Here is a 27,750-nt window from a genome sequence, read left to right as displayed (position 1 = left end):
TGGGCCAGACACACACACAGTGACACAGCCGGCCCACCAGCCCAAGTTCTGGGTGAAATAACTAAGATTCAGAGCAAGGCACAGAGGACAGCACTGGTTGGGCTGATGAAACACACATATGCACGGAATGACATGACACACCTGACAGGATGAAGTGTATCTAATAATATCTGCTAGAAACAGAATGGGCTCCCATGGGCCTTGCATGGATGGACTGGTGGGATATCATTAACCTCTCCCTACACCTGAGACAAAAAGTGAAAGTCACAATACAAATGTGGTTTACATGAACGTGTATGCCAGAATTTATTATGCATGTGTAAAAATGTGATAGTTTATATATACATCCATAACTGATTTGAACATACAATGAAAACAAGATCCTACCTACGGAATCAGCTAATATTATGCTCCTGTATCAGGCAGCCCTTAAGCTGTCCCAAAAGGATTTCCGATTCCTGGCGTTCACTCCCTGTTTGACCTCCTACCCCTGAGTGCGAGGGACCTGAGCTTGCTTCTATTGCACAGAGGATGGCGGAGTGATGGAAAGTCACTTCTGAGAGTAAGCCACAAAAGACTGCAGCTTTGATCCTGGGTAACCTCTCTCTCTCTCCCTAGCTCCCTATGAGGGAGGCCAGCTGCCATGCTGTGAGCTGCCCCATGGAGAGGCCCATAGGCAAGGAACTGAGGCCTTCAGCCAACACCACCCAGGGACTGCATCCTGCTGCCAGCACATGAGTGCTCATGGGAACCAATCCTCCCCAGTCAGACCTCCAGATGAGACAGCAGCCCTGGCCTGCAGTTCCCCTGCAGCTCTATGACAGACCCAGAGCCAGAGGCACCCAGGCATGCAGCACTCAGATTCCTCAACTACAGAAACTAGGAGAGAAGACATGTTGGTGTCTTCAAGACACTGAGTTTTAGGATAATGGGCTATGCTGCAGGAGATAACCAATGCTGAGGGCTGGGAATCCACTTGACAAAAAATTCCTAAAGATAATAAGATAAATAACAATCAAACGAAAAATGGACCAAGGGCAAAATGAGAAAGTCAAGTGGCCAAAACCCATTCCCTAAATCCATCCCTACCAAAATACAAAAACCCAACTGTATGAAAGATGCTACACCTGAATAAAATAGAAAATATGTAAGCCAAAAAAGATGAGATATGCTATGCCAGTGAGATCGGGAAGTAGTGAAATCATCAGGGTTGGAGAGGCCTGGGAGGTTTCCAGCCTCCTGCTGCTGATGGGACTGTAACCTGGGGTAACCTTTCTGAAGGGCAATTTGGCAGCACTGTATCCAATCAATATGGAGGGTGTTCCCACCCTTTGATCCAGTACCCCACTTCTGGGAGTTTCCCTATGGTAATTAGGGTACAAGGAGCAAACATGATACACAGGACAGTCCCCGTGGGTTGTTTAGGGAGGGAAGAACTGGAGGCCTCCTAACTGTCACCCGACAGGGCTGGCTCAGACGTCCACATCAGCCTGCACCCTTGGGGGCTCAGCAGCCTTTTGAAGACTTAGTTGACCAGGAATATGTCCAGGGACCTTATGAGAAAAGATGTGCACACCTCAGACTATCCTGAACAGCATGGGCCCACTGCTGAAAAAATCATGTATGCCTGTGGAAGTGTGTGTGTGCACACGTGTGTGTGCATGTGTGTGTGTTCACGGGTGCAGAAAAACAGCCAGTATCTCTAACAGGTGGAATCATGAAACTTTTCATTCTCTACCTTAGCATGTACTATTTTCTATAATCAGAAAAAAATTCTTAAGAGTTTTACAGGTTAGACAACATAACATATACCATTATAATTCTGCACACAGTCACGTAATCCACGCTTTTCCTGGCCTCTTCATGAAATACCAAAGCACTGTAAAATGATAATAGTAATAGTAAGAGCAATCATAGCATTATATAATTGGCTAGTTGCAGGCCTGGACACACATGGATCACCTGGAGGTGCACAAAGGCACAAGCCCTCTGGGGAGCACCAGGCTTCCAGGGGTCCATCCTTCATTTAGAGGTCAAAGTCATCACACCATGTTCTGCTCTCTAAATAACCATGAGCCTTTAGAGGAGCTCTGCGTTCAGTGTTGGTCCACACAACAGAGCCGCCACTGGGCTCTGAACACTGCGGCCCCGGCATCGCTGTTGTCTTATAATCGCCACAGACCATTGCAGGGTCCCGCCCGGCACCATCACCGAATGTCCTCTGTGTTCACTCTCATCACAGAGGGGTGTCTGATTCCAACGGAGTAACATTTGTTAAACTGAACCAAATTAGAGCCATCTCCTTCTCTAATAAATTGTTATCGTCATGAGGGCAGATCAAAGTTGGCAGCAACAGAGAAAATCTATTTATATTGTTCTCCATTTAATTGGCTTTTTTGGGTTAAGAGCACTTAGAGGAAGAAAAAAGTCCCTATAGATCATTTAAATTATGACATTGTGAAAGTCAGGGGTGTCATCCTGAAATTGAAATGTAAACATATAAGTGTATACTGTTTGAATAAAAAAATTTATATAACTACTTTAAACATACATTTTCATTTTACAAAGAGCCTTAGTGTGTGTGTGTATATATATACACACACACACACACACTTAGATTATATATATGTATAATCTAAGGATATAGATATACATAATTACATATATATAAAAAATATATATATAATATGAACACTGTAGCTCAACACCATAGCTTATATATATAAGCCTTAGATTATATAAATATGTATAGATTAGAATATTTAGATATAAATATATAAAATATAGATTATGTTCATATACATATATATAAAGAACCCAGCCTTATAATATTTTGGTGGACTCTGACATCTCTGAAGTTTATGGAAAATCCCTCAACTCATGAAGCATCTGGAATGGATTGGCCTGGGTGCCTGAGCATGGAAATGATGCTTTGTGTTACCTGCCCAGCTGTGCATCTGGACACATGAAGATAACAATTGATCTGGAGAAGACGCAGCCAAAGCTCAGGCAGATTTGCTGCCCTCCATCAATGCTGGTGGAGGAAACCAAGTCGGCCCTGCTCTTGCAGAGTTCAAGATTCCAAGGAGGCAAGAGACAGGAGGCTGACCAAACAAGAAGAACGTGAAGAGATGCAGAGGCGGCGGGCTGGTTGCACGCACAAGTCTGTCAGCCTCTGCAGGAATCATGAAGAAGGCCATTCTACCCTCTTCTCAAGTCTTGTGGCAGACCGGTGGTGATAATTGAGGATATTTTAATGAATTTGTCTACTTCTGAGTAAAACAAGAATGCACGTAAAGTGCACATGATGGAACATAACTGTTCTCTGATGCGCCTTGTGACTGGTCTGGTGTATCCCCCAAACAAGCACTCTGGTAGGTGCTTGTTTCAAACAATTTGATCAATAAAATTAACAACTAATAATCATTTCCGGAAGTAACTATAAGTTAACTGAGTAAAATTCTCCTAAGAAGTAGAATTGAAGGCTTTCAGAAAGCATCTTCCATCTAAATTTGGTAAAACATTTAAAATGATGAAAATGGTGATTAAGAAAAAGCATCAACTTGGTACATCAGCATCAAATCCAATGGAATGAAAAGATTCCCCATGATCATTTCAGCCTCAGCTCCTCACTGGAGAGCCACCTTCAAGTTTCACTGATGCTCCAGGCGGCTGTTTGAAATAAGGATCCACCAGTCAGCCCGTGTCTGTTGTCCCGCCTGAGTGTCTGCACTGCCTGCCTGACTCCACCCCTCCACACTCTCACTTTGCCGGTTGCCCTCTTTCTCTGTCCTCAGGCCAGTGCACACAGCAGGAGCATCCCTTCACCCACCCCGCGCCCCTGCTCCAGCTCCAGGGAGGATGACCGGCTTCCCTGAGCAGTTAGCAGTGGTGAGGCGATGCTCCAAACCAGAGCGAGGGAACAGGGCAGGGGGCTCGCTCAACCAGGACAAGGCATTTTCAAGACAGCAGTGGCTGGAAAGGAAGGAGAGAAAGGAACACTGTTAACCTTGGACACATGCAGAGGAGCAGCATGAGAACAGGGACGGGGGAGGTTTATAGAGACGGTGAAAGGTAAAGTGAGACAAAAAATAGTGTCATCCAGGGATCACAGGGAAATGGGAAAAGTGCCAAAGAAGATGGATCGAGTCCCTGTTCATTGATCTGGATGAGAGCAAGGAGAGAGGCCCAGCAGACAAGGCAGGAAGAATCCTGAAGGCGGAGGGAAAAGTCAGGCGTAAGAGATAAAGGCGATACAGTGATCTGAAAAAGGAAGAAAGAAAAAATTCTGGGACAGCTAAGAAAAACAGATAAACCTGCAAAACCTAAAGTTTGTGAGGAGGAATGTGTCGATGCTGCAGGAACAAAGGGGGATGGGAAGGAACACAGTCTGGGGGGCGCGGGTGGAGAGGCTGGGGCGGTGGGGCCCGCAGGGCAGAGACCCCCGGCAAAGACAAACAGGAGGACATCTGAGAGGCAAAAGCTGCAGGAAAGAAGACAAATGAACAAACTCATACGTGCTTGGAAAGCAAGGCTCTCCTGTGGGCTGAGCTGTGTCCTCTCAAATTCCTATGCTGAAGTCCCAGCCCTCAGCACCTCAGAACGAGACTGTATTTGGAAATAGAAATCTTTATAGAGATAATTACCTTAAAATGAGGTAATCAGGTTGGGGCCTAATCCAATAGGACTGGTGTCCCTCTAGGAAGAGGAAATTCAGACACACGTAGAGGAGACAGATCCTGTGAGGACCCAGGGAGAAGATGATGTCTACAAGCCAAGCAGCAGCCTCGGGATCCAGCCCTGCCCACACCTGGATCTCAGACTTCCCCTCTCCAGGAAGTCTGCGAGAGAATGCATTTCTGTCGTTGAAGCCCCCAGCCTGTGGGGACTTTGTTTTAGCAGCTCTCAAATAATGTAGGATAATGCAGGCTCCAAGAATAAAAGTCACAGCTGAATGGAAGGAGGAAAGGGGAGGAGAGGGAGGGAGAGAGAGCAGGGAGGGAGGGAGGCAGAGAGAGACAGAGAGATTGTGGGAAGAGAATGAATTTACACAGTAGCATAGAAATCTTCAATCAGGGAAGGACTACAATGAAATAAAAGAAAAGATGTTTACAGAGAAGTTATTTAAATGACACCCCTAACATTAAGTTACTTAACAAAATAAACAGCAAAGCCTCATGTGCCGGGTGACAGTCCCAGGCCCAGAACAGTGAGCAGCCTCCTCCATTTAGTGCCTCTTGACTCAAAATACAAACCTCTCTCAAACGTCCTGCTGGTGTGTTTTCTGGCGAATGGTATGATGACATTTCAAGGGCACGTGATTACAAACAAAACCCCATAAAGCTTATTCTCACGTACTAAAACACTCTGACCAATAAATTCAGTGTTTAGAGAAAGATAATTCACATGATGTATGTAGGGCCGGAGTGACATGCCTTTGGCAGTCAGCATCACCAGAAAGCCTTTTGACGGCCCTGGCTTTGTGGCTAAAAATGTCCACTTTCCTGACACTGCAGTTAAGGTGCACTCCACACCCTTCGTCTTTCTCTGATGGTTCATGATCTAGCAGTGCCTGAAGGACATCAACTCAACCTCATTCTCCGATAGGTGCTGAGCGCTTACTAGGCGCAGGGCTGGGCTGGTCCGGCAGGCCCCATGTTGCTGCCCGCCAGGGGCCACACTGCCCAGCCCCACCTGGGGGAGCGTCCAGCCCCAGATTGGGAGACAGGACACAGCCCCCCAGGAGGCCCACGGGCCACAGCCAGCTGCAGGTGGCCTGCTCTCAGGTGGGGAAGGGGAGAGGCTGTGGGAGGAGGCAGATGGGTTGGGGGGACTCCAACAGGACACCTGGCCTTGGGGTGTGAGGGGCTCGTGAGCAGCTCACACTTCCTGAGTGCTGAGCAGTTCGCTCCCCATGATGGCTGCCTGGTGCTGACAAGGACTGGAGGTGACCCTGGTTCCAGTTTTTGGAAGAGGAAACAGGGAGGGGAAGAAGTGGCTAGTTCCACCGTGAAGACGCTGGGCGCTGCATCGCCGTGGCTGCCGAGTCAGTGGGGAGGCCTCAGCCTCTCCATGCCTCCCCGCACTGCTCAGGGCCCTGGGAGGGTGGCAGGGGCAGAGGGAAGGAAGAGGGAGGGGCAGGAAGGGAGGATAGAGGGTGCAAGGGGAGTGTGAGGGGAGGGAGGTCGCCTGGGGCCCCTGGGCAGCAGAGGGAGACAGGCTGGTGTCGGGGGAAGGAAGGGAGCAAATACACTGAGAGGAGAAAGTGGAAACGCTTTGCGCGGGGTAAAAAGCAAACGTGGAAATGCAGAAATGGCGAGGAGTCCAGGTTCCGTCCTCACGGAGGCAGGTTTAAGGTGAGGCAGCAGCTCTTCTGCTGCGCCCTGGAGCTGGCCTCCGGAAGCCTAGACCATCAGGGTCCATTTCCAGCAGCGATTCCCACGCAGGAAGTGAGCGAGGGGTCATCCCGGAGGGCTCTTTCCTTTCCAGGACACAGAGCAGCTGTGTCTGAATTGCTGGGGGCGGAGAGGGGCACCCGAAGCATCCCAGAGCCCCCCCAAGAGTCCCTGTTGAAACGAGGTGCAAAGCGCCCTCCACCCCCAGGCACTGGGGAGTGGAAACCGAGGTTGAGAACCACTGGATCCTGAGATTGGGTCTTGGAGAAAATTACTTTTTGCTCATCTCCCAGTTTTCTGTTATGAAATTAAAATATTCACTTCTATTTAGACTCAGCCTCATTACTGTCTGCCACTTCACTTGGCTCTGCAATCCATTAAGACAAAGTTTAAGAAAACTAAATGTTTTCCAGCTCTGTTTCCTAACTCTGCTTAATTATGTAATTCTAAATATTTGTTGTTGCTTTTAAAGGTCTAAGAAAACTAAAATGCTGACTGTGCGTGGTGGCTCATGCTTGTTATCCCAGCACTTTGGGAGGCTAAGGATGGTAGATCACCTGAGGTCAAAAGTTTGAGACCAGCCTGGCCAATGTGGTGAAACCCCATCTCTACTAAAAATACAAAAATTAGCCATGCATGGTGGCGCACACCTGTGGTCCCAGATACTCGGGAGGCTGAGGCTTGAAAATTGCTTAAAGCCAGGAGGCAGAGGTTGCAATGAGCCGAGATTGTGCACTGCACTCCAGTCTGGTTGGCAGAGTGAGACTCAGTCTCAAAAAAAAAAAAAAAGAATAAAAACTAAAATGCTAGTTATAGTTAAAAAGTGCCTGAGCCTGGCGACAGTGCCTCTGTAGTCATACATGAGGGTGCTATTGGTAATCCATTGAATTGTAGCTTCTTATCAAGGGACCAGCACAGATGGCCCTGCAGAGCTACGAATGCTGTTGACTGCAAGAGGTTAAAATACCCGGAGCAGAAATTAGCTGCACTCTAAGTCCAAATGAATCTCTATTTTTGAAACGTCATTAAGGCATTTAAAATTCTACTGAGGGTGACCTGAGGCACCCGGTGTCACCCACCATTGAAGCCCAGAGAAGGCAGACACGGCCCTCCCTGCTGCCCCTTTCAGGCCTGCTGGCTGCCAGCATGTTACTGGCTCTGAGCGCCGTAAGTCATCTCCTTGTTTTTTCTTTCCAACCTCCAGAAACTGTTCAAGTTCCTCTAATTAAGAAGTGCAGCTAGCAGGGGCCAAGAACCCTCAACTACAAGGCAGGGAAATCAGCTACTTCTGATAAAGACCTTCAGAACCTAATCAGACACAGGAACAAACAAAACCACAAGGTATGTGCTATGATTCTATGGGAATGCACTGGGAGCTATTTCCCGTTCCTTTTCGACTTGTGAGACATCTTGTCATCTTGAATTTGGAATTGTTTTTTGATATGGGATTGTAAATCTTTTGTAGTTTCATTGTTCCTACTGCAGGACCTAAAACACTCATGTATTGGGAAGATAATTTTCTCTGAGTGGTTAGCAGGTGCCAAATGTAGCTCAAAACATCACTCAACAGCTCAAAAGCATCACTGAGGTCTTGGTTTACAACTGACCTTGTTTGCTAGGCCTGTTTCCCAATTCTACTTAATTACGTAATTCTCAATATTTGTGTTTGTGTTTTTAAAAAAGCCCTTAGAAGACAGGAGAATCACTTGAACCCGGGAGGCAGAGGATGCAGTGAGCTGAGATCACGCCATTGCACTCCAGCCTGGGCAAAAAGAGTGAAACTCTGTCTCAAATTAAAAAAAAAATCTCTTAGAATAATCTGAAACAAAAATTTGGTGCAAAATAACAGCACAGGCTGGGCGCGGTGGCTCATGCCTGTAATCCCAGCACTCTGGGAGGCCGAGGCGGGTGGATCATGAGGTCAGGAGATCGACATCATCTTGGCTAACATGGTGAAACCCCGTCTCTACTAAAAATACAAAAAATTAGCCAGGCATGGTGGCGGGCGCCTGTAGTCCCAGCTACTCGGGAGGCTGAGGCAGGAGAACGGCGTGAACCCGGGAGGCGGAGCTTGCAGTGAGCCGAGATCGCGCCACTGCACTCCAGCCTGGGCGACAGAGCAAGACTCCGCATCAAAAATAATAATAATAATAATAATAATAATAATAATAATAATAATAACAGCACAAATACAAAGCCTACCTGGGTTTCGGGAGAACTTCGGACCACGGTCTCGCTCCCGGTCCTGCTGCTCACAGAATGTGGGGAGGGGGTGGTGATCAAAAAATCAAGGGCGTTTGCAGTCTGCACCACGCAGAAAAGTGAGGCCACCACCCTGTTCCTTACTTAGCACCTTCCTTACCCAAGGCCCTGCACCAAGGACACGCCAGCCTCCTCTTCACCTGTTCATGTGACCCTCTTTTCACTGCTATCCTCCAAACTCAAATTCTTTCCCCAGCCTTTCTTTAGGATCACTGTATTATACACTTAAAATATGTTTGCAAGCTCTAGAATAAATAAAAGAATGTACTCACCCCATTTCAGGGTGAAACCTTCTAGCACAATTTGAAATATTTTTAAGAATACTACCAATCTGTAAACATCATGACTTACTAATTTAAAGGAATAGCAGGTAACAATGAAATAAATGAGACTGAAGGGAGATACAATTAAGATTGGGTGCAATGTACCAATCTTTGCTGTAATTATGTCAAGAAAATAACAACATCAAAAGAAAGGAAAAGAGTCAGTAGCGAAGAAGTGGATGATTTAGAGATGCACACTCTGAAAGCTTTTACTTATGGAAAATGCTGCCTTCCGTTTATCGTTCACTCCAACTGTGCTTGACGCCTTAGTTAATTGCACACTATTATTTTTGTTAAGACCAAACAAATTACAAATCAGCCTTTCACGCTTGGTTCAGAAGCCGGAAATGTCAGATTCCTTTTCCTGCAGCAGAAATCTTATATTTCCCTCAATCTCCCTGGGCAACTTAATCTAATGGTGATGTATGGAAGTTTCCATAGAATTCTATGGGGAAAGTCCCACAGGGATTTTGGGTGAGGCTTATTCTGCCCTAAGTGCACGCTGAGTGAGGGTGGCCTTTTTCTTCCTTGAGCCCTCCAATAGGTCGTTCTGTCAAGCCCGGCAGTTAGTGGCCTCTCATACCTGGCACTTGACAACTCCTCCTTGATGATGCTTCCACATGAGGCAGCACAGGGAAGATGCCCCCGGGCAATTCTCACTAAGCAGGAGCAGGAGGAGCTGGGCCCTGGCAGCTCCTTGAGGAGCACTGGTCTGCTTCAGCCATGCCACCCTCGGGAGCATGAGAACACAGGAACTGGCCTCACTCCTCAGTCCAGGATCCCTCTGTTGCCTGGGCTTCTGGGAAAGCTTGCATGCCCCGTCCACTGGAAAGCTGAATGCAAATCTGGGGTGGGGGCCTTGCCTTGCTCTTGCCCTTACCCTCAATGGTGGCCCTGCAGCTGCCGGCAGATCCCCCTCCTTTCTTGATACCAGGTCCCTGACTCTCAGGGTAGCCCATTGGCTGCTTTTTTCATACGCCTCCTCCCACATCTGGGTCTTGAGTCCTAGGTTGAGATTGTCTTTTCTGGTCGAGTCCTGACCAAGACCCAGTTCTGAAGTCTCGGAGCATCTTCTGGCCACAGAGACAGCATGGGGTGGTCTGAAAGGCCTGTAGAGGTTAAACGACCATCACCCTCGCTTGGGCTTGTCCAGCCTACTGGCCTTCATCATGGCCAATAAGGTCAAGTGCTGACCAACAGCTGCTGCAAAGCCTGCTGTGTTCACCTTTCCAACAAAGCTGGGGACGCCGAGGGCTGAGAGCCTGCGGCTTATCCAAATGGGACATTCGGTGGAGCTGGGAAACCAGTGGGAACCTGAGACCTCTAAACGGTGTGTGACTGGAGCCAAGGTGGGGATGGAGGGCCTTTAAGATTTTTCTCAGGATAGGGTGATCGGAATCATCTCACTAAAAGATTACGTGACAGCTAAATAATGTGTTTAACAGGAGCAAAAAGGAGACATAAATAAATATGAACAAATGGTCTGAGCACTGTAGGGCAGGTCTGTTTCTATTTGCTGATATTACAAACCTAGATCAGTAGTTATGGCAACACCACCCAGGCCCAGGAACTGATTTAGATATCATTGCAGGCTCCATTTCCACATAAAGGATAATATTCCTTCCTAGAATGATATGCCGGCGGGGGGGGGTGGTGGGTGCTGAAAAACACTGGGGATAGGAGGATGCTTTCTGCCTATAATCATCTCAGATGAGGACATTTCAATATTTCTAAACTATGGGAAAATCACTGGGAATACAATAAAAACAGCGTAGAAATCCTGGAGGATCAGTTAGCTGTATCCCACACTCTGTCCCATGAGAATGCAGAGTCTACCCACTTAAGTCTTCAGATTGGGGGAGAACCCTAGAGATAGCTGGTCAGTCTCTTCCCAAATGCAGAAAGCCTCACCCTAGATTTTGGGTCAATGCTCAAGGCCTCAGTTGACTGACCAGTTAAGAGAATGTGAAGCAGGCATTGGTATTCCACTGTTGAATAGCCTCCAATTGCAGTAAGACCATATGTCATATCACAGGTGTTTCTGAGAAACTTGGCTAGTCCTGCAGGTCGAATATTTCAGCTAGGTTTCTCTTAAATTCTACTAAAGAAAGGATCTTTCGTAAAAGTATTAATATTAGAAAGGATCCATGTAATTGACTACAGGGAAATTCTCTTTCAGTTGTACTGAAACAGTTGATGTTCATTCTGTGTGACTTGTGATAATTGCTGGGGTCCACAGCTTTTTACAAATTTTAAAATTTGATTTATGAACCGGTTTTTCACCTTGAAACAAAATGGTAGCCAAGAAGTTTTCAAGTGGGCATTGCATTCTGTAACAAAGAATGAATATCAACAACATTTAATGGCTAACAAGGACTTTTGATGTGCATTTAGGGAGCACAGAGGTAAATGTTTTAAATAAGAATATTCTTCTACATAATTTTCTAACTGAACGCCAGCAAAAGAAATCAAGCTAATTTAAAGATGCTACCAATGTAATGGAATTCTTATGATACCAAAGTTAAAGAGGTGAAAAAACCCAGATATCAATCTGTGCTGGAACAATAACATAATCCCATAAATCAGCCCCTGATGGTGCAAAATCATTTGATGATGGCATGTCAGCAAAGGCAACAGCAAGCGTCCACAGCAGTAGATTTATGAGGGCAAAAAGGAGGCTCTTCTGAGTTTCCTGTGAATCTCTGTAAAAACACAGTCATGGACGGAAACACCCGAGGCACCTGGAGGTGAATATTGCCATGAAACACTCATCATTATGAAAGCAGATATCTGTGTGCATTGGAGGCTGCTGTGTCTTGGCCATACATTTCTGTGCATTTAATTCAATAAATCTCCTTCTTCTTTAGAAGCAGGAACATCTATTGATCACCTTACCTATGCAAGGAACACGTGTCATCATTTCCTTTGATCCTCATGATTCATGTGAGCAGTTGGGTTTATGCTCCTTGCCTTTAGGGGAGGCATCTGATGCTCAGGGAGGTGGGTGCCTGCCCAGGAGTGAGCCACACTCAGAAGGGGTAAGGCGCTGGAGCCTTGCCTCTGCCTGCAGATCTCCAGCTTTATCCCAGCCCCACCCACCAATAACACCAGAGAACTGAGACACCTGTTGGGCTCCTAAATCTTGATCCCAGTTGCTCTGGCCCTGAGCTGCAGAATAAGGTTTAGGATCTTTCGCAAGACAGCCATCACCACCTAGAGCCACACACTACCTCGAGTTCTTAACCTGGGGCCCATGCACTCCTCCGGGTATATATATTTGGATGGGAAAAATGTCTCCATTTTCACTAACTTTGAACTGCAATTCAGCACTTCCTATAATTAGGATTGAAAGAAACCACAGCAGTATTAGCAATGCCTTGGCTTTGTCACCAATAGGCAAATGTTTTAAAATCGCATTACAGTTGTGATATTGTTGTAGATATTTTGAAATGTCATTGATATTCATTATTGTCAGATTAGGAGAGTGTTAGACCTGCCTCTAGATCTTAATATTTAATGTGTTAATAAAGTGCTTTTTAATTTATTTTAGTTCATCATGTTTTAAAAACATGTTCTGATAACTGTATTTAAATATAATTGGCTTCCTTTGAAATCCTATGCATTTTGTTTTGTGCAACGAAAGACGTTATTCTGGGGAGGAGTCTGCAGGTGTCCCCAGACACCTCGAGGCCATGCAGTCCTCCAGGTGGCTTCGAGGGGTTTGGGGCAGCAGGAAGGGACTCCTGTGGTTGGTCACCTGTTTCTCTTTGACCGATCATCAAGAATAACCAAGAGCCCTCTATCTCTCTTATGAAAAGGCAGATGCCAGGATACCCTCTTAAATGAAATTACTAATAAAATAAGCACTTTAATTCAATTCAGTTCCAACTCACTTTTTATTAGATCAGTTTTATTTGTGACTTACGGTAATGTCCTTTAAGTGTTGTGAAATTTTTATCTTTATAGTTAGAGTAGCAGTCTTGTATGAGTTCTCTAAGATAATGATGTTTCATAGGGTACATTATGAAAGAGATCAAAGGAAGTCAGCAGGGCTCTGGAGGGGTGGGGTCACAGCCACCAGTCTCTGCAGCTCTCCTGCATTAGTTTTAGGCATTGTTCACATTGGATGAAGGCACTTCCCCTGGAGGATCCTAACCCGCTACTGTGGACAAGGCCCCTGGCTTTGCTGTGCTCTTCTCTCCCACCCAACCTGGAGGAGGAAGGCTCCCACCCGAGAGGTGCTGTCAGACGCAGGCACATGTGCGCTGCAGGAGAGGGCTCTGATAAAGAACAGCCTCCTTGCACAAAGCCAGGTTAAATACATTATGATTCATTTAGTATTTTGATGACTCTTAAAAAGTTACATTTTAAAGGCTTCTAATACTCAACTAGTTACAGTTAATTTAAGCTTGTAACTCACTCAATTCTGGTGAAGTTTCCACTATGGTATTTTTATTTTTCCTTGGCTGAGAAGCAGAGTTGAGTAGCATATGTCACTAATCATGAGGGACTCCAGCACAAATTAATCCTAGCAGCAATTGATCTTTACTTGGTATAGTTATATCCAATTCCTGACAGACATCTTACGGGAAGCAATATGGGCACCCAATCTGACACTAAGTAATCACCCTAATACATACATATTGATCCGTAAGGCAAAAATAATTGGTTTAATAATTTTGTGCACAAAATGTCCAAATTCATAAAATATTAATCACAGCTTTTTATTAGAACCAAAATGTAATAAGTTCTGTAACTCCATATTCTGATATTTGCAAATGTCTGATCTTCAAGATCAAAAAATGAGAATTACCCTTCAAATATTTTTCTGGAAATTTTCCCTTCAATTTCCAAGTGAGCTGAGGACAATTCAACTTTACGTGTAACTGATCCTTTACCAGACAGTATTTCCTTAGCTCCTTCATCAAAGAACTCAGTCAAACACCTCGAGAATGCCTGCCAAATACTGTGATGAAGAATTAGTATTTATTTTAGAGAAATTATTTTAAGGTAGACATTCCTTCAATCTGAGTGATTTTACCAATGTAACAATTATGTTCAAAAAGCACTTCTTTCTTGAGTTATTTTCAGAATCTCTAAAATGCCTTTCCCTTTCATATACAAAATAAATAAAGCTGTAATAATTATCTTTCTCCTACGGTTTGAAGCAATTAACACATTCATCGATTTTGCTCAATCAATACAAGGAGCTTATGATGAATCTGGGCCAATATATTTGTCCAACGTTGCTGATAATTCCGTACCATGTGTCAGACTTGATGGATGCACCATCCGTCCTCTCGTGGATTGATTCTGAGTATTGTAGGAAAACCATGCACCATGGAACTGCAGAGGCATTCCTAACATCCATATGTGCCATGAGGAACAATAATGCTACACGTGGTACTTGCCAACTAGACACCTCCTCAGGACCAGGTGGCTCTGGCACTGGACTGGTTGCCTGGTGGCAGCTCAGCTCTGTGCATGATTCAACCTCAGCAAGCCTCAGTTTCTTCCTCTGTAAAATGGGAATAACAACAGCACCTACCTCTTAGGCTGCTACAAGGATTTAATCAAATCATTCACATTAAGCATTCTGCACAGCAGCTGACCCACAGTAAGCACTTACGTTGCATCGCAAGAAGGGGCAAAATGAAGAGGATGGGGAGTCTGCTCAGGGAAACAGATCTTGTGGCAAACATCTATTTGGCACAAACAAAGTGTTGGACATTTAGCAAAGAGAAGGGGCAATACAGTTGTAATTATGTAAACTGGCAGGATAAGCACAGAAATGAACTTTTTCTAAACAATGCCGAGCTTCCTCCTCTGCAGTTCAGAGGAGGAAGTCATCGCTTTTATTGAAGGAGTGGTTGAGGAGCTGTTTGCAGAGAAGTTGGGGCATCTGGGCAGGGTTTTTAAGGATGGCCAGGGACTCACCTGGTGAAGATGGGCAAGAGGGGCTTCCAGGCAGAAGGGGCTGGTGGAAGAGGAGCCTCAGTGGGGGCTGTGGCGGATGCAGGAATGCCATCATGGCTGTACAGTGCTGGGAAACTTGAGCTCTATTTCATAAGGTTCATAACCAGATGTGATAAAGCTAGGTCTGCATTTTAGAGGAGCCATGCAGGTGGCATCAGGGAGGATGGACAGGGACAGAGAGACTGGATGGGGGCACTGCAGGAATCCAAGCAGAGGACAGGCACCCACGAGGCAGGAGCACAGGGCTGGAGAGGAAGAGAGCGGGAGAGGAGAGCCTAGCACTGAAGAATAGGAATAGAAGAGGCTCGGTGAGTGTGGCTCCCTGACCATGCCCAGCCCTGCTGGCCAGGTAAGGGGCAAGGTCGGGCAGCTTCTTCTGGCTTCTGCAGACACACCTGCCCTCATCTCACAATCCTCTGCCACCTGATTGGTCCCAAATCTGCTCTCCCAGTCCGGTGTCCTTGGTCCTCCCACTCAGCTGGTTTCCTCCCAGCCTTGTGGGATTAGCAGGCCAGGGAGAGGACCAGGGGAGGGTCGCAGACGTTACGCAGAATGGGGAAGGGTCGTCATGGGAATGCCAAGGGCAACGTCACTACAGTGCTCAGTGAATGAATGAATGATGTGTGTAACAATGAGAAAATAACTGAACAATTAAACCTTAGCTTAGCTTGCCGACTTACTGAGTAGGAAAGTGTAGACATTACTGGAAACATTTCTGCCATTACTACAACTTCTTGGTCAGTGTGGGGGCATGCCTGGCCTTTCCATTTATCAGCAATGAAACCGTATTCCAAAAAACACTGAGTGACTAATGCCCCATGTTAATGTCGAGTCTCAATCACCCTTAAGTAGAGTGTTTCCTCTAAGAACATCACTTGGAATTTCTGAAGACCCTGCTGATCCCAGGACCCCACTGTGCCCATGTCCCCACTATATACCCAGGCCACTGTCTATTGTCAGATCCATGGATATTTCCTAAATATTAACAAAAAGATACTTGTGAAGCCACTTGGCAGGTCAAAAGCAAATGTGAAGGGTTTTGTCTTCTCCCCATTAGAGGGTACGTTCCCTGTGGCAGGCACTTGATGTGTATCTGATCCCCCAATGATGCCTAGGAAGTTCCTGCATGACGGGAGGCACTCGATTCCCGTGCTGTATTAATTTGTCAGCCACGGCTCTGGAGGGTCTGCTCACACCACCCTCCGCAGCTGCGTCTCATCGAGGGTGGAGGGAATCATCCCTACATTTTCTTTTTCAGGGTTTACACTCCCTCGTAGTCTACATAAGCAGTCCAGGGAGGAAGGCTGGCTTTAGGATGGCATCTCTACAGAAGTCGGGCTTTGAAGGCGCTGAGTCAGGGTTGACCTAGGACAGGGAGTGTGAGCCAGGTGGGGTGGGGAGGTTGGGGGGATTAATTATCACCACTTCTGAAGCTCTGGGCTGTGGTTACTGGTGGGTGAGGCTGTGTCTGCCAGATGGGTGGGGAGGGAGGAGGTGGACCATGGCCAGCGTCAGGCAGCTTTTCCAACCCGGGCTGCCCATTAGAATCATGAGGAGCTCTTTGGACCAGCCTCTGTCAGGGCCTGATCCTAGACCACAAAGTCTGAGTCTTTGAGGGGACAGCCCTGGTACTGAAATAATCTGCACACTCCTCAGGGCATCTAATGTGCTGCCAGGGTTGGGAACCACTGGCAGAGAAGAAAGGACTAACACTTGTGGCCAGCCGTCCTCTCCCCTCCCGACTACATCAACACATCTAGGGCAGCAACAACCTCTGATTCTAGGAGCTCCAAAGTGGGGCTCAAAATCCCTGCCACAAGTGTCTGTTTTGTTTCCTGAACTATAAAAGCCATTTCTGCTGGTGTCTTATCTGCCTCTGACATGGTACTAGTGAGGCTGCCTTCCTTCTAAACCTGGGTGTGGACGAGTCTCTTCCTGACGATGAGAAGGGAGACACTGACCAGGTTGTGGGTGTCAGGCCTTCATTCAGACTTCAGCTTAGTGTCCACATGGGCACATTCCACTAAGAAACAGCCATGAACCTACACTGTCCTTACAGAGAAAACCCAATCTCCCCCATCGCTTAAGGGAAATCAGAAAAGTATACAAAAATACACTACAACCCTCTTCCTGCAAGTTCAGATTCTCAAAGTCTCATGGTGAAGTAAAAGTAGCTTCTACCAGGAGCTGCCCCATGCACCCCGGGCTGAGCTGCTGGAGCTCTCCAAGCGGGTGTGGGGCTATTTTTAGGATGCAGTCCTGCCTGTGTCCTCCTGCCTGCCCTACTTGATAGAAGAACAAGTAGCTATTTTTTCCTCTGAACAGTCCAGTGTATCGATACCTCAAGCTGCACAGTCATCGGTGGTGGCAATAATCTCCGTGCCCTGTACACAGTGCAGGACACAACACAGTGACTCATAAGCACGCTACCAAAAATCCACGTCTCCCTGGACGAATCAGATGGCGTTACCCACCCCTGCCAGTCACTATTTTTGCTCTAGGTTGTTCTAGCTTCCCTCCGGGTGTGCAGCCATCTCTCTGCTCAAAGCTGCGGGCAACATTCTCCATCCAGTGCCTCCCTCCGTGTGGCTTCATCTACTGCTTTTCAAACTAGCACAGCAGTTGCAGAAACAAGATGAGCAACTGGTTAAGAAATGCCTGTTTGGTTGTGTTATGGGCTGAATTGTTTCTCCTCCCTTCACCAAGGTACATGGTGAACCCCTAACCCACAGCACCTCAGAGGGTGACCTTATTTGGAGACAGGGTTTTTAAGAGGTAATTAAGTTAAAGTCAGGTCAGGAGGATGGGCCCTAATCCAATCTGACTGTGTTCTTACACGAAGAGGAGATTAGGACACAGACACACACAGAAGGAAGGTCATGTGAGGACACAGGGAGGACACAGCATCTACAAGCCAAGCAGGCAGGACTCAGGAGAAATGAGCCCTGCTGACACCTTGATCTTGGACTTCCAGGTCCTCTGTTATGGCAGCCCCAGCAACCTAATACAGGGCCTTTAAACATTTTGTGTGTTGTATGGCTGGGTGAGGTGGCTCACACCTGTAATCCCAATACTCTGGGAGGCCGAGGTGGGAGGACTGCTTGAGCCCAGGAATTTGAGACCAGCTGGGCAACATAGTGAGACCCCTATCTCTACAAAAAATAAACAAAATTAGCTGGGCAAAGTGGTGTGCACCTGTAGTCCCAACTACTTGGGAGGCTGAGATGGGAGGATTGCTTGAGCCCAGGAATTAAAGATTACAGTGAACAATGATCATGCCACTGCACTCCAGCCTGGGTGATAGAGGGGACCCTGTCTCAAAAAAAATCTCTGTGTTATAGCCGGTTAGAAGCCCACAGATTTTAGGAGCCCAACAGGCTGTTCATCTTTGTCACTCTTTCTGATGAGACTGCTGGTTTTACAGTCATAAGTAAAGTGCTATTTCTAGGCCTAGTATTTTGGAAGATGGGCTTTATGTATGTCTCTGTGTGTGTGTGTGTGTGTGTGTGCACATGTGTGTGCACTTGTGCTTCCCAGTGACACCATGGTGTGGCCCCCTCTCAGACCTAAGGTGGATTTTAGTGACATCACTGCATATCATTTCACAAAGCTGAGCTGCAGAGCCCTTTACTGTTTCCTTACACTTAGACAAGTTTCCTTTATTAAAAAACATCCAGAAACTGTCAGGCAAACAGAACTTGTCCTGAAATTGCTTTCCAATTTTAAATTCAAACAGTTAAGACTCAAGGATGCTTTAGTCCTGATGTTCTGTGAATCTTTTGCGGATGGCTGGCTGAGCAGCTCTTCTCTGTGGATAGAAAGGATTATCACAATGGTCACAGTTAATAAACGACTGCCTGGAAACAGCAAGGTGCTTGGATGGCACCTGGCCCGACTGCCATTTCCAACAGCTTTTACTCATGCTGATGAAATTTCAGAGCCTTGCCACTCATGAGCTGTTATGAGAGCATGTGGCTGTATAAACTCCACCTGACTCTGTGAAACTACAGTTTCCTCACCTGTACAACGACCATCAAAAGAGCAGAACCAGGGAGATTCAAACATCCTCAAACATCCTATGTTCTCTGCTGGCCCAGAGTTTGGCACAAGCAAGTAGGAAATGCTTCCTGCTGCTGCTGCTGCTGCAGTTATTATTACCAACACTGTGTGCATGCCGAATTGTATGGTTGGCTCTGAGGGGCCAGGAGAGGAGTGAGGAATTGTCACTCAATTGCCATTTGGTTCCCTGCCCCTGGCGATGCCTAATTAACTAAAAAGGGGACACTCAGGAGGTGAGCCACAGTGAAAGCAGGGCTCTGAGTCAGTGCACCATCAAGCAGCTTTTGGGGACCCTGCTGCTGCACACACAACTGACAGAACAAGGTCCCTGGCCAGTCACGCCATCGTCCCACGCTCCAAGCCTGGAGTGGAAGCCAGTAAACTCTGGCACTCTTCATGGCCAGCATTCCCCAATGCTGATGCTACTTTGTCTAGGTTTACAGAGTCCGAAAATGCAGTTTTTGTAGGTTAAGCTACCTACTAGGTGCAAGCACTGTGCTGGGATTACAGGCTACTTTCATTTCAAAACCAACATCTTCCAGCTTTTGAAAGGCAAAAATCTTACACTGGAGCTGTGGGTTGTATTCTTTTGGTTCAGTAACTAATAAAGGATGCAAATAATTATCTAAAAGTATACTTTTAACATTTTCACCAGTTCATTCTAAAAGTACAGAGTTTTAAAATCCAATTATAAAAAACTAAGAGTTACCTAAAAATGCCTCTAGTCAAAAGAGGGTTTAGTAATAGACAAAGGGGGAAGATATGTATATCATTATTTCTACATAGAATATATCATAGAGGAAATTTATATATTAATTTAATTTAAGACAACCAGAATTCAGACAGCAACATGCAAGAGATTTTGGTAACACAGGCCAGAGAGTCTCTTAAAAGCCTCACGAAATGACTGAATTTATCATATGATGTGATAAACCTAAGCTTTTTATTGTACACAAAACTGTTAAGCAGATATTTTTATGTTACACACAAAACTCTTAAAATTGTTTTACAATTTCTCTAGAAGTATAGAAACAGCGTATCCTCAATTCACAAAGTTCAGCTGAGCAGTGAATGTTTTCCTCTATAAAAGAAGCAAACCAGCCTTTTCTAACTCTGCAGCTTATGAAAATGCATCCTAAAAAAGAAATCCCGAGAAGTATCAGAACATAACTAGAATATAACGACTCTCCCTTTTAAAGTAATTATCGGTTTGGTAGCTGTCCCAGTTCTCCTTGAATACCTAATCAGGTATTTTGATTGCTTTCCCAAAGCATATTACCTCTAACTGAGGAAATAATTTGGTAACTACCATATGTGCTCTGAACAACCAGTAGGTAGTGAATTTGCAAAAGTACATAAAGAGACAATCAACCTCAGGTTACCTGAAACACCATCAGAATCCTTTTGTGCACAGAATCCTAAAACATTAATGACTATTCATTTCTTCCTTTCTTTCATTGCATTTTGAATATTTTATGTATGCCACACATTACCCTCTCTTAGACAGCTGTATGTTGGAAGCAGCATGAAAAAATGCAAAGAAATTGAACTTGCACTTTAAAAAGTGCTGAGATTTTGCCTCTATTTAGATGTGGAATAGACAACATAACATGACATGCTAGGTGGAGGGCAATGGGTTCAGTTAGGATTTTATCAAAGTAAGAAATGAAAAAGTTGATAATTACTTTCAATAAAGAAATCTCTCACTTGCAAACTGTATGTTAGAATCTCAATTTTAAATACAGAGAAAAGAAAATATACTTACAAGGACCCGTGTATTTTATATATTGCCCATTGCTATATTGCCGCTTGGCATATGGGCACCAAAGGAATTATTATTATACACAGCATTAATGTAGAAATAGGAAACATTTAATTTCCTGAGGTCCCTCTCTCTCTTAAAAAAAAAAATCCCCATTTCTCATTTCAAACCTTTGTTTTCTCGCATCTTTCAAAATATAGGCAGTGGTCCAGTTCATCTCTAAGATCTCTTCCAAGTCTAAAATGTTAGGACTCTGTGATCCCAGAAGGGAATACACATTCCTCTTCCCCTGATCCCCAATGTCATCTTCATTGCGAAGAATGAAAAACAATAACAGACTGTTCCAAAGAATTCTGATTAGCAATGATTCAAGAAGCAAATAACCAAGGCATTTCTGCAAAGAATTCTTCCACTTCATTTGTATAAATCCTGTTTGAAAAATAAAACTGAGATCCCCTACCCCCCATGCTTGCATTCTATCACATGAACCTTTCATCAGACTCAACATGTAACTGCAGGATGGAAAATAAACCTCTGATATTAAAGCACTAAGCCTCCCTCAGCTGAAGATGTTTTTCTAGAGTTGTTACACCTATGCTATTTCTAACTCGGGAAATGTGTGGAACCTAAACCTTAGAAAAGAAGGACTGGCAGGATGGGTCAGGAATTACCTGACCTTCTCTGCTGGAGTTAGGATGCTATTTGTTTGGAATCCCAGGGGTTCCAGCTTTAGTGAAATTGGCAGAACAAGCATTATTTGATTAGTGTGAAAGAGCCTGCAGTGAAAGTGCCAGGCAGGGAAGAAGTGATGGCTTCTGATAGGCCGCCTGTAGAAAGATCAAGCCGAGGTCATTTGGGGTCTTTTAAAGAAAACGATGATTTTTTCATAAATCTAAAAGATGCCCACACAGCAATGTAATTTTCTTAAGTAATGCTTAATATTGATTCAGGAAAACACCAGAGAACTCAACCGCAGTCGACAGCATATAATTCGAGCAGATAACACCATCACGCACTCACCCTGCTCTCAAGTACTTTGGGGTTTCTTTGCGTAAAGCTGCCATCTGATGCAATAGGTGAGAAGGCTCAGGAGAACTGTTTGGCCCTTCGTTTCGTATTTCGTTAAAATCTTTAGCCCTGATAAAGGATTTAACTGCTTGGGGCAGTGAGGTAAGGGGATGAAGAAAAAGAAGCAGGTCTGAAAGAGACCAAGACCTGGAACGTCTACCCCAGAGGTGGTGGTCCTAAGGGGTTCGGGGAAGGAAGGGGGTGCTCTGAGGGGAAAACAGGCATTGCCGTGGGGGGGGGGGGTCTGGTCTTGTCTCTTAAGGGAATGCCCAAACCACACCGCCGCCTCTCTAGAGTGAGTTCCCAAGAGCAAAATTTCCACCTTTCCAGGAGAGGCAGCCCAGAAGAAGGCAGGGGGCGGATTTACAAGCAGGCAGCTGTCCCTCCCCACGGCACCCACCTGCAGATCTCCCACCCGAGTCCCCTGCGGAGGAGCCTTGTGTGTGTGTGTGTGGGGGGGGTTGGGGAGGTGGGAGATCAGCTAGGTTGGACACTTAAATCCTGAGGTCCAGAAAAAGTTCTCACCTTCATAGAGATTATAGGGACAGGAGATTGAGGAGCAGACAAGAGAGGGGCGAGAAAAGGTGAGACGGAGGGGAAAGAAGAGTAGGGGAGCCAGGGAGGGTGGAGAAGGAAAAAATGAAAAAGGAACGGGGGTGGGAATAGATGGGGGGACAGAGAAAGGGGTGAGAGGAGAAAGAGTCCAGGAGGAAAGGGAGAGGAGGGTATGGGAGAGGGAGGCTAAGGAAGAGGGATGGAAGAGAACTATGAAGGGATGAGGAGAGAATGAGCAAGCTAGAGAGACCAGAGAGACGGCAGAGACCGATACCAGAGAGACGGGCAGAGACTGAGACCAGACGGGGACGGGAGAGACGGGACGGAAAGCAGGGGCAGGAAGAAAACGCTCAGGGAAAAGAGGTGGAGGCGCTCGGAGCATCCCCGTGGGGCGCTGGTGTAGTCAGAGCAGGGAGCGAGATGGCCGGAGGGGCCGGCGCTGGCCCTCACCACGGGGCCCGGGCGCCCGGCGGCGCTGCAGACCCGATCTCGGCCCCGCGCCCCCAGCCCCGGCGCGCTCGCCTTACCTGGCCCTTGACCAGGCTGGCTGCGAACTGGCGCATGACGGCCTCCACGGTGTAGGCGCTGGACCAGCCGCGCGGCGTGAGCAGCTCCATGCAGATGGCGCCGCCGTCCAGCACGTAGCCGTTCTCCAGGCGCGGGCTGAGCACCCGCATGAAGGGCGGCGAGAAGGGGAAGTTGTCGGGGAAGGTGAGGTTGAGCAGGATGAACTCGGTGTTGGTCTCCTTCATGTCCTGCCACAGCACCGAGTCCTTGTCCACCTGGTGCAGCTTCACGTTCCAGTCGAACAGGCTCTCGTCCACCAGCTCCACGGAGATGAAGCGGTCGCTAAGGCGCGCGATGTCCTGCAGCTCCTTCATGAGCCGCCGGCTGCGCACCTGCGTGCAGTGTTGCTGGCGCGCCGCGGGGACCAGGCTGCCGCCCGCCGCCGCCGCCACCGCCGGGCCCGGCCCCGCCCTGGCGCCCGCTGCCCTCTCGCGGGGGCCCCCGGCCCCCGCCGCAGCCGCCGCCGCCGCCGCCGCAGCCGCCGGCGCCTTGTCGCGCGGGGCCAGCTCCGCCGCGCGCTTGCCCTTTCCCTTGCCGGGTCCCGGGCTGGCGTCGCCCGCGCCCCCGGGGTGCTGCTGCTGCTGCCACTGTGTGGTGTGTGTGTGCGAGCGTGGTGTGTGTGCATGTGATGTGTGAGTGTGGTGTGTGGTGTGTATGTATGTATGGTGTGAGTGTGGTGTGGTGTGTGTGTGAGTGTAGTGTGTGTAGTGTGTGGTGTTTGCATGGTGTGTGTGAGCATAGTGTATGAGTGTGTCGTGTGTGAATGTGTGATGTGTGTGTGGTGTGTGTGGGGTGTGAGTATGGTGTATGAGTGTGTGGTGTGTGTGCATGTGTGTGCTTGTGTGATGTGTGAATGTGTGATATGTGTGGTGTGTGTGTGGGGTGTGTGAGCGTGGTGTATGAGTGTGTGATATGTGTGTGCGTGTATGTGGTGTTAGTGTGTGAGTGTGTGGTGTGTGACTGGGATGTGGTGTGAGGGTGTGGTGTGTGTGTGCTGTGTATGTAATGTGTGTATGGTGTGTGTGAGAGTGATGTGTGAGTGTGTGAGGGTGTTTTGTGTGTGGTGTGAGGGTGATGTGTGTGGTGTGTGTGTGTGGTGTGTGTGTGGTGTGTGTGAGTAGTGTGTGTAATTGTGTGTAGTGTGTGGTGTGTGTGGTGTGTTGTGTGTGAGCGTGGTGTGTGTGCTTTGTGTGAATGTGTGGTGTCTGAGTGTGGTGTGTGGTGTGTGTGGTGTTTGCATGGTGTATGTGAGCATAGTGTATGAGTGTGTAGTGTGTGAATGTGTGGTGTGTGTGGTATGTGTCGTGTGTGTGGTGTATGAGTGTGTGGTGTGTGTGTAGTGTGTGTGCATGTGTGTGCTTGTGTGTGGTGTGTGAATGCATGATATGTGTGGTGTGTGTGGGGGTGTGTGAGCGTGGTGTATGAGTGTGTGGTGTGTGTGTAGTGTGTGCGTGTGTGTGGTGTTTGTGTGTGTGTGGTGTGTGACTGATGTGGTGTGTGTGTGGTGTGTTTGTGGTGTGTGTGTGAGGGTGTGTGTGGTGTATGAGTGTGTGGGAATGTGTGTAGTGTGTGCGTGTGTGCGGTGTGTGTGATGTGTGTGTGATGTGTGTGGTATGAGTGTAATGTTTGTGGTGTGTGTGTGATGTGTGTGGTGTGTGGTGTGTGTGTGCAGTGTGTGTGTGGTGTGTCTGTGTGTGATGTGTGTGGTGTGTGAGTGTGTGTGGTGTGTGGTGTGTGAGTGTGTGTGGTGTGTGGTGTGTGAGTGTGTGTGGTGTGTGGTGTGTGAGTGTGTGTGGTGTGTGGTGTGTGTGTGCGGTGTGTGGTGTGTGTGAGTGTGTGAGTGTGTGTGTGGTGTGTGGTGTGTGTACGGTGTGTGGTGTGTGTGTGTGTGTGTGTGCGGTGTGTGGTGAGTGTGTGAGTGTGTGGTGTGTCTGTGAGTGTGTGATGTGTGGTGTGTGTGTGAGTGTGTGAGTGTGTGGTGTGTCTGTGAGTGTGTGATGTGTGTGGTGTGTGTGGTGTGTGTGTGCGGCCGAGCTGTCCAGCGGTGAGGCTGTAGTGGTGGCGAAGTACAGGAGAGATTACGCCGGAAGCCTGCATGGTTTAGGATTGTAAACCTTGCTGCCGCTGCTGCTGGTGGTTTGGCTTTGAACTTGAGGAGCGTCCGAGTTCTCCAGGAAAGCCTTTCACTCTGGGTGCCGTCATGGTGACTTCTTGTTTTTAACTTCTTTTACCATTTTTACCTTTTCTAAGTTATTAGAAATTTTCACTGAAAAATAACTCTTCTGGCCACTGTGGAAACAGTTTCAGGCCTGAAAGGTTTGGGGTCGGGTGATTTGGGGTTGTCTGCGGGAGAGCCAGTTGACAGCGTGAGCTAAAAGAGTAGGGGTGCCTGCACGCCTGGGTCCCCGAGAGGCGACCGGCAGACGAGTGCGTCTGCAGAGGGCTGGGGGCCTGTGCTCTCAGGTGGGTGCCCTGGCAGTGGGAATCTCAGCTGCGACGGGAGGGCCTATTTGCCCTGGTTTCATGGTTGATTTTGTTTTGTTTTGAGACCTTGCTCTATCCAGCTGTTTTGTCTGTTTGTTTGTTTGTGTTTTTTGTTTGTTTTTATATGTATGTATGTATTTTTAAGATAAGGCGAGAAGGATGACAGTGTCTGTCTGTAAAGTCCTGGGAGCTCATCTAACATGAGGGACCGGGCAGGTCGGCAGGCTCTACATGTTTGATTTAACTTCCACAGAGGCCCTCTCAGATTTCATCTGACCCCTTTCACTGGTGTAGAAACGGAGTCTCAGGGAGGCCCAGCAGCTTCCCCAGCTCAACCACGTGCTGGGAGGCCCAGCTGGGGTCCACACCCAGCGGGGACCCCCTGTGCCAGCTCCGTGCTTCTCTACCTGATGCCCCACGCCGGCTGCATTGCTGGGTCTCAGACTCAGTTGCGGTCTCTGTCCTGCCCTGGGAGGTGAGAAAACGTCTCCTGGGCGTGATTGTCCGGATTTCAGAACCCACTGACCTGGGCCGAGGCTTCAGAAACTCTTTGTAGCAGTGACAGCAACTGATCCCACTTGAAGGACACACGTCATCAGATGTGGTTTGGGAGTGGTTTAGCTGAAATTGCATGCAGCTTTCTGTGAGGCCTCTGTTTCTGAATGGAGTTATTGCTAGGGAGATCAAATACCTTACTGTCTGGTTGTAGATTTTTTTTTTGTAAGTGGAAGGATCACAATTAATACTGATGCTGGGTCTGGGCTCACGCCTGTAATCCTAGCACTTCGGGAGGCCAAGGTGGGCAGATCACTTGAGGTCAGGAGTTTGAGACCAGCCTGGCCAACATGGTGAAACCCCATCTCTACTAGAAATACAAAAATTACCCAAGTGTGGTGGTACACACCTGTAATCCCAGCTACTTGGGAGGCTGAGGCAGGAGAATCCTGCCAGGAGGATTCTGAACCCAGGAGGTGGAGGCTGCATCGAGCTGAGATTGGGCCACTGCACTCCAGCCTGGGTGACAGAGCAAGATCCTGTCTCAAAAAAAAAAAAAAAAAAAGAAAAGAAAAGAAAAGAAAAGAAAAGAAAAGAAAAGAAACTTTTGCTGAGACAAGAGGCCAAGCCAGAACAGGCTGGCATGGAGATGGTCATCACCTCTCTTGTTCCTGTCCCTCACACTTAGAGCACCTTGGATCAACTCTTAAAAAGGCTGGAGCTAAAGGTTAGTTAAAGATTGGAAACAACCTAAATTTACAATAGGAGGGAAAGTGTTAAGTAAATCACACTGAATCCACTTAGAATATATTTTGCAGCAAGAATGTTACAGTTATCAAGATTATATCGCAAAATGGAAATATTCATGATCTACATAATAATTTTAAGTGAGAAAGTAGAGTGCAAAATTATATCCACATGGCAGCTACAACTACATATAACTATGCACAGGAAAAAAGACTAGAAGGAGAAATTTTGAATGATGTTATCACTATTATCATGTTAGTACAGGTAGAACATCTCAATTTCGTCCTTCCTCAGTTCTCCAGCCCATGGATCCAAACATTTCCTTCAGTGACAGGATGGTCAGGTCAGGGGTGGGCAGAAGGGGCTGTGTGGTTTGTAAACCCCCCTCCTTCTTCCATCTCAGAAGATTCTAGAAAGTTCTGCTTTACCCCTGGCATGAACAGATATTTACCCAGCCCAGCAGTGTGTAGAGGTTACATTGTGTTTTAGTTATTCCATTTTGATTTTCAAATATTCTAAAATGGAATGTGTACCAGTAAAAATGAAAAAAAAATTATTACCGAATGTTGTCATTTTATTGAAGATTAGACTTATAATATTGAGACAGTTGAATTAAGGGCATTTATCATAGTTACATAAAATAATTTCTAAGGACAACTGTGGGTATGTAGCTCCTGCTATGTTGTTGAGTACTGAGGGGTGGGGAAGGGGAGTGGTTAGGGAATCTGCAGACAGCCAGACACCATGTTGAGAGGAAGCCCAAGCCACTGAGGGGTGGGGAAGGGGAGTGGTTAGGGAATCTGCAGACAGCCTGCACCAGTCTAGCATGAAGGGAAGAAAGGAAGGGAGAGAGGGATGCTGGTCATCACAAGAGGCCCATCATCTGAGAATAAGTCCTATCTGCCAATGACTCCTCCATGAACATTCACCCAGTGGTCCCAGGTGCCGCTGTCTCCAGCTGCAGCTTCTATGAAGACATGAAGAGCTGTGGTTTGCCCATTTATTACCTATCTCAAAAACTGCCTCCCAGTTTTTCAGTTGGTCCTATTTCCTCATG

The 27,750-nt window shown here is 47.0% G+C and overlaps 1 protein-coding gene and 1 long non-coding RNA gene across 2 annotated transcripts in view, besides 1 other annotated feature; both read right to left on the bottom strand.

Moving 5' to 3' along the window:
• The window catches only part of UBE2QL1 (ubiquitin conjugating enzyme E2 QL1), a 47,865-nt gene extending 24,549 nt beyond the window's left edge, over nucleotides 1-23,316 (bottom strand). Inside the window, exon 1 of the mRNA NM_001145161.3 lies at nucleotides 22,928-23,316. Within this exon, the coding sequence (NP_001138633.1) occupies nucleotides 22,928-23,281 (354 nt within the window). The 5' untranslated portion in view covers nucleotides 23,282-23,316. The remainder of the gene's footprint in view (nucleotides 1-22,927) is intronic.
• LOC105374639 (uncharacterized) lies at nucleotides 279-22,838 on the bottom strand. The gene is made up of 2 exons (XR_007058679.1): nucleotides 14,610-22,838; nucleotides 279-14,498 (listed from the first exon to the last, which is right to left on the bottom strand). It is a non-coding gene; the product is annotated as an uncharacterized LOC105374639 (long non-coding RNA).
• Nucleotides 23,284-23,353: a silencer, noted in NCBI's record as "silent region_15896". NCBI's record gives its function as "represses an Ori minimal core promoter by ATAC-STARR-seq in GM12878 lymphoblastoid cells {active_cell/tissue: GM12878}" and the evidence as "EXISTENCE:reporter gene assay evidence [ECO:0000049][PMID:35858748]".

Source organism: Homo sapiens, chromosome 5, assembly GCF_000001405.40.
Source record: "Homo sapiens chromosome 5, GRCh38.p14 Primary Assembly".
NCBI classification, from domain to species: domain Eukaryota; kingdom Metazoa; phylum Chordata; class Mammalia; order Primates; family Hominidae; genus Homo; species Homo sapiens.
Note: the sequence above shows the minus strand (reverse complement) of the source record. Positions and strands in the feature narration are given on the sequence as shown.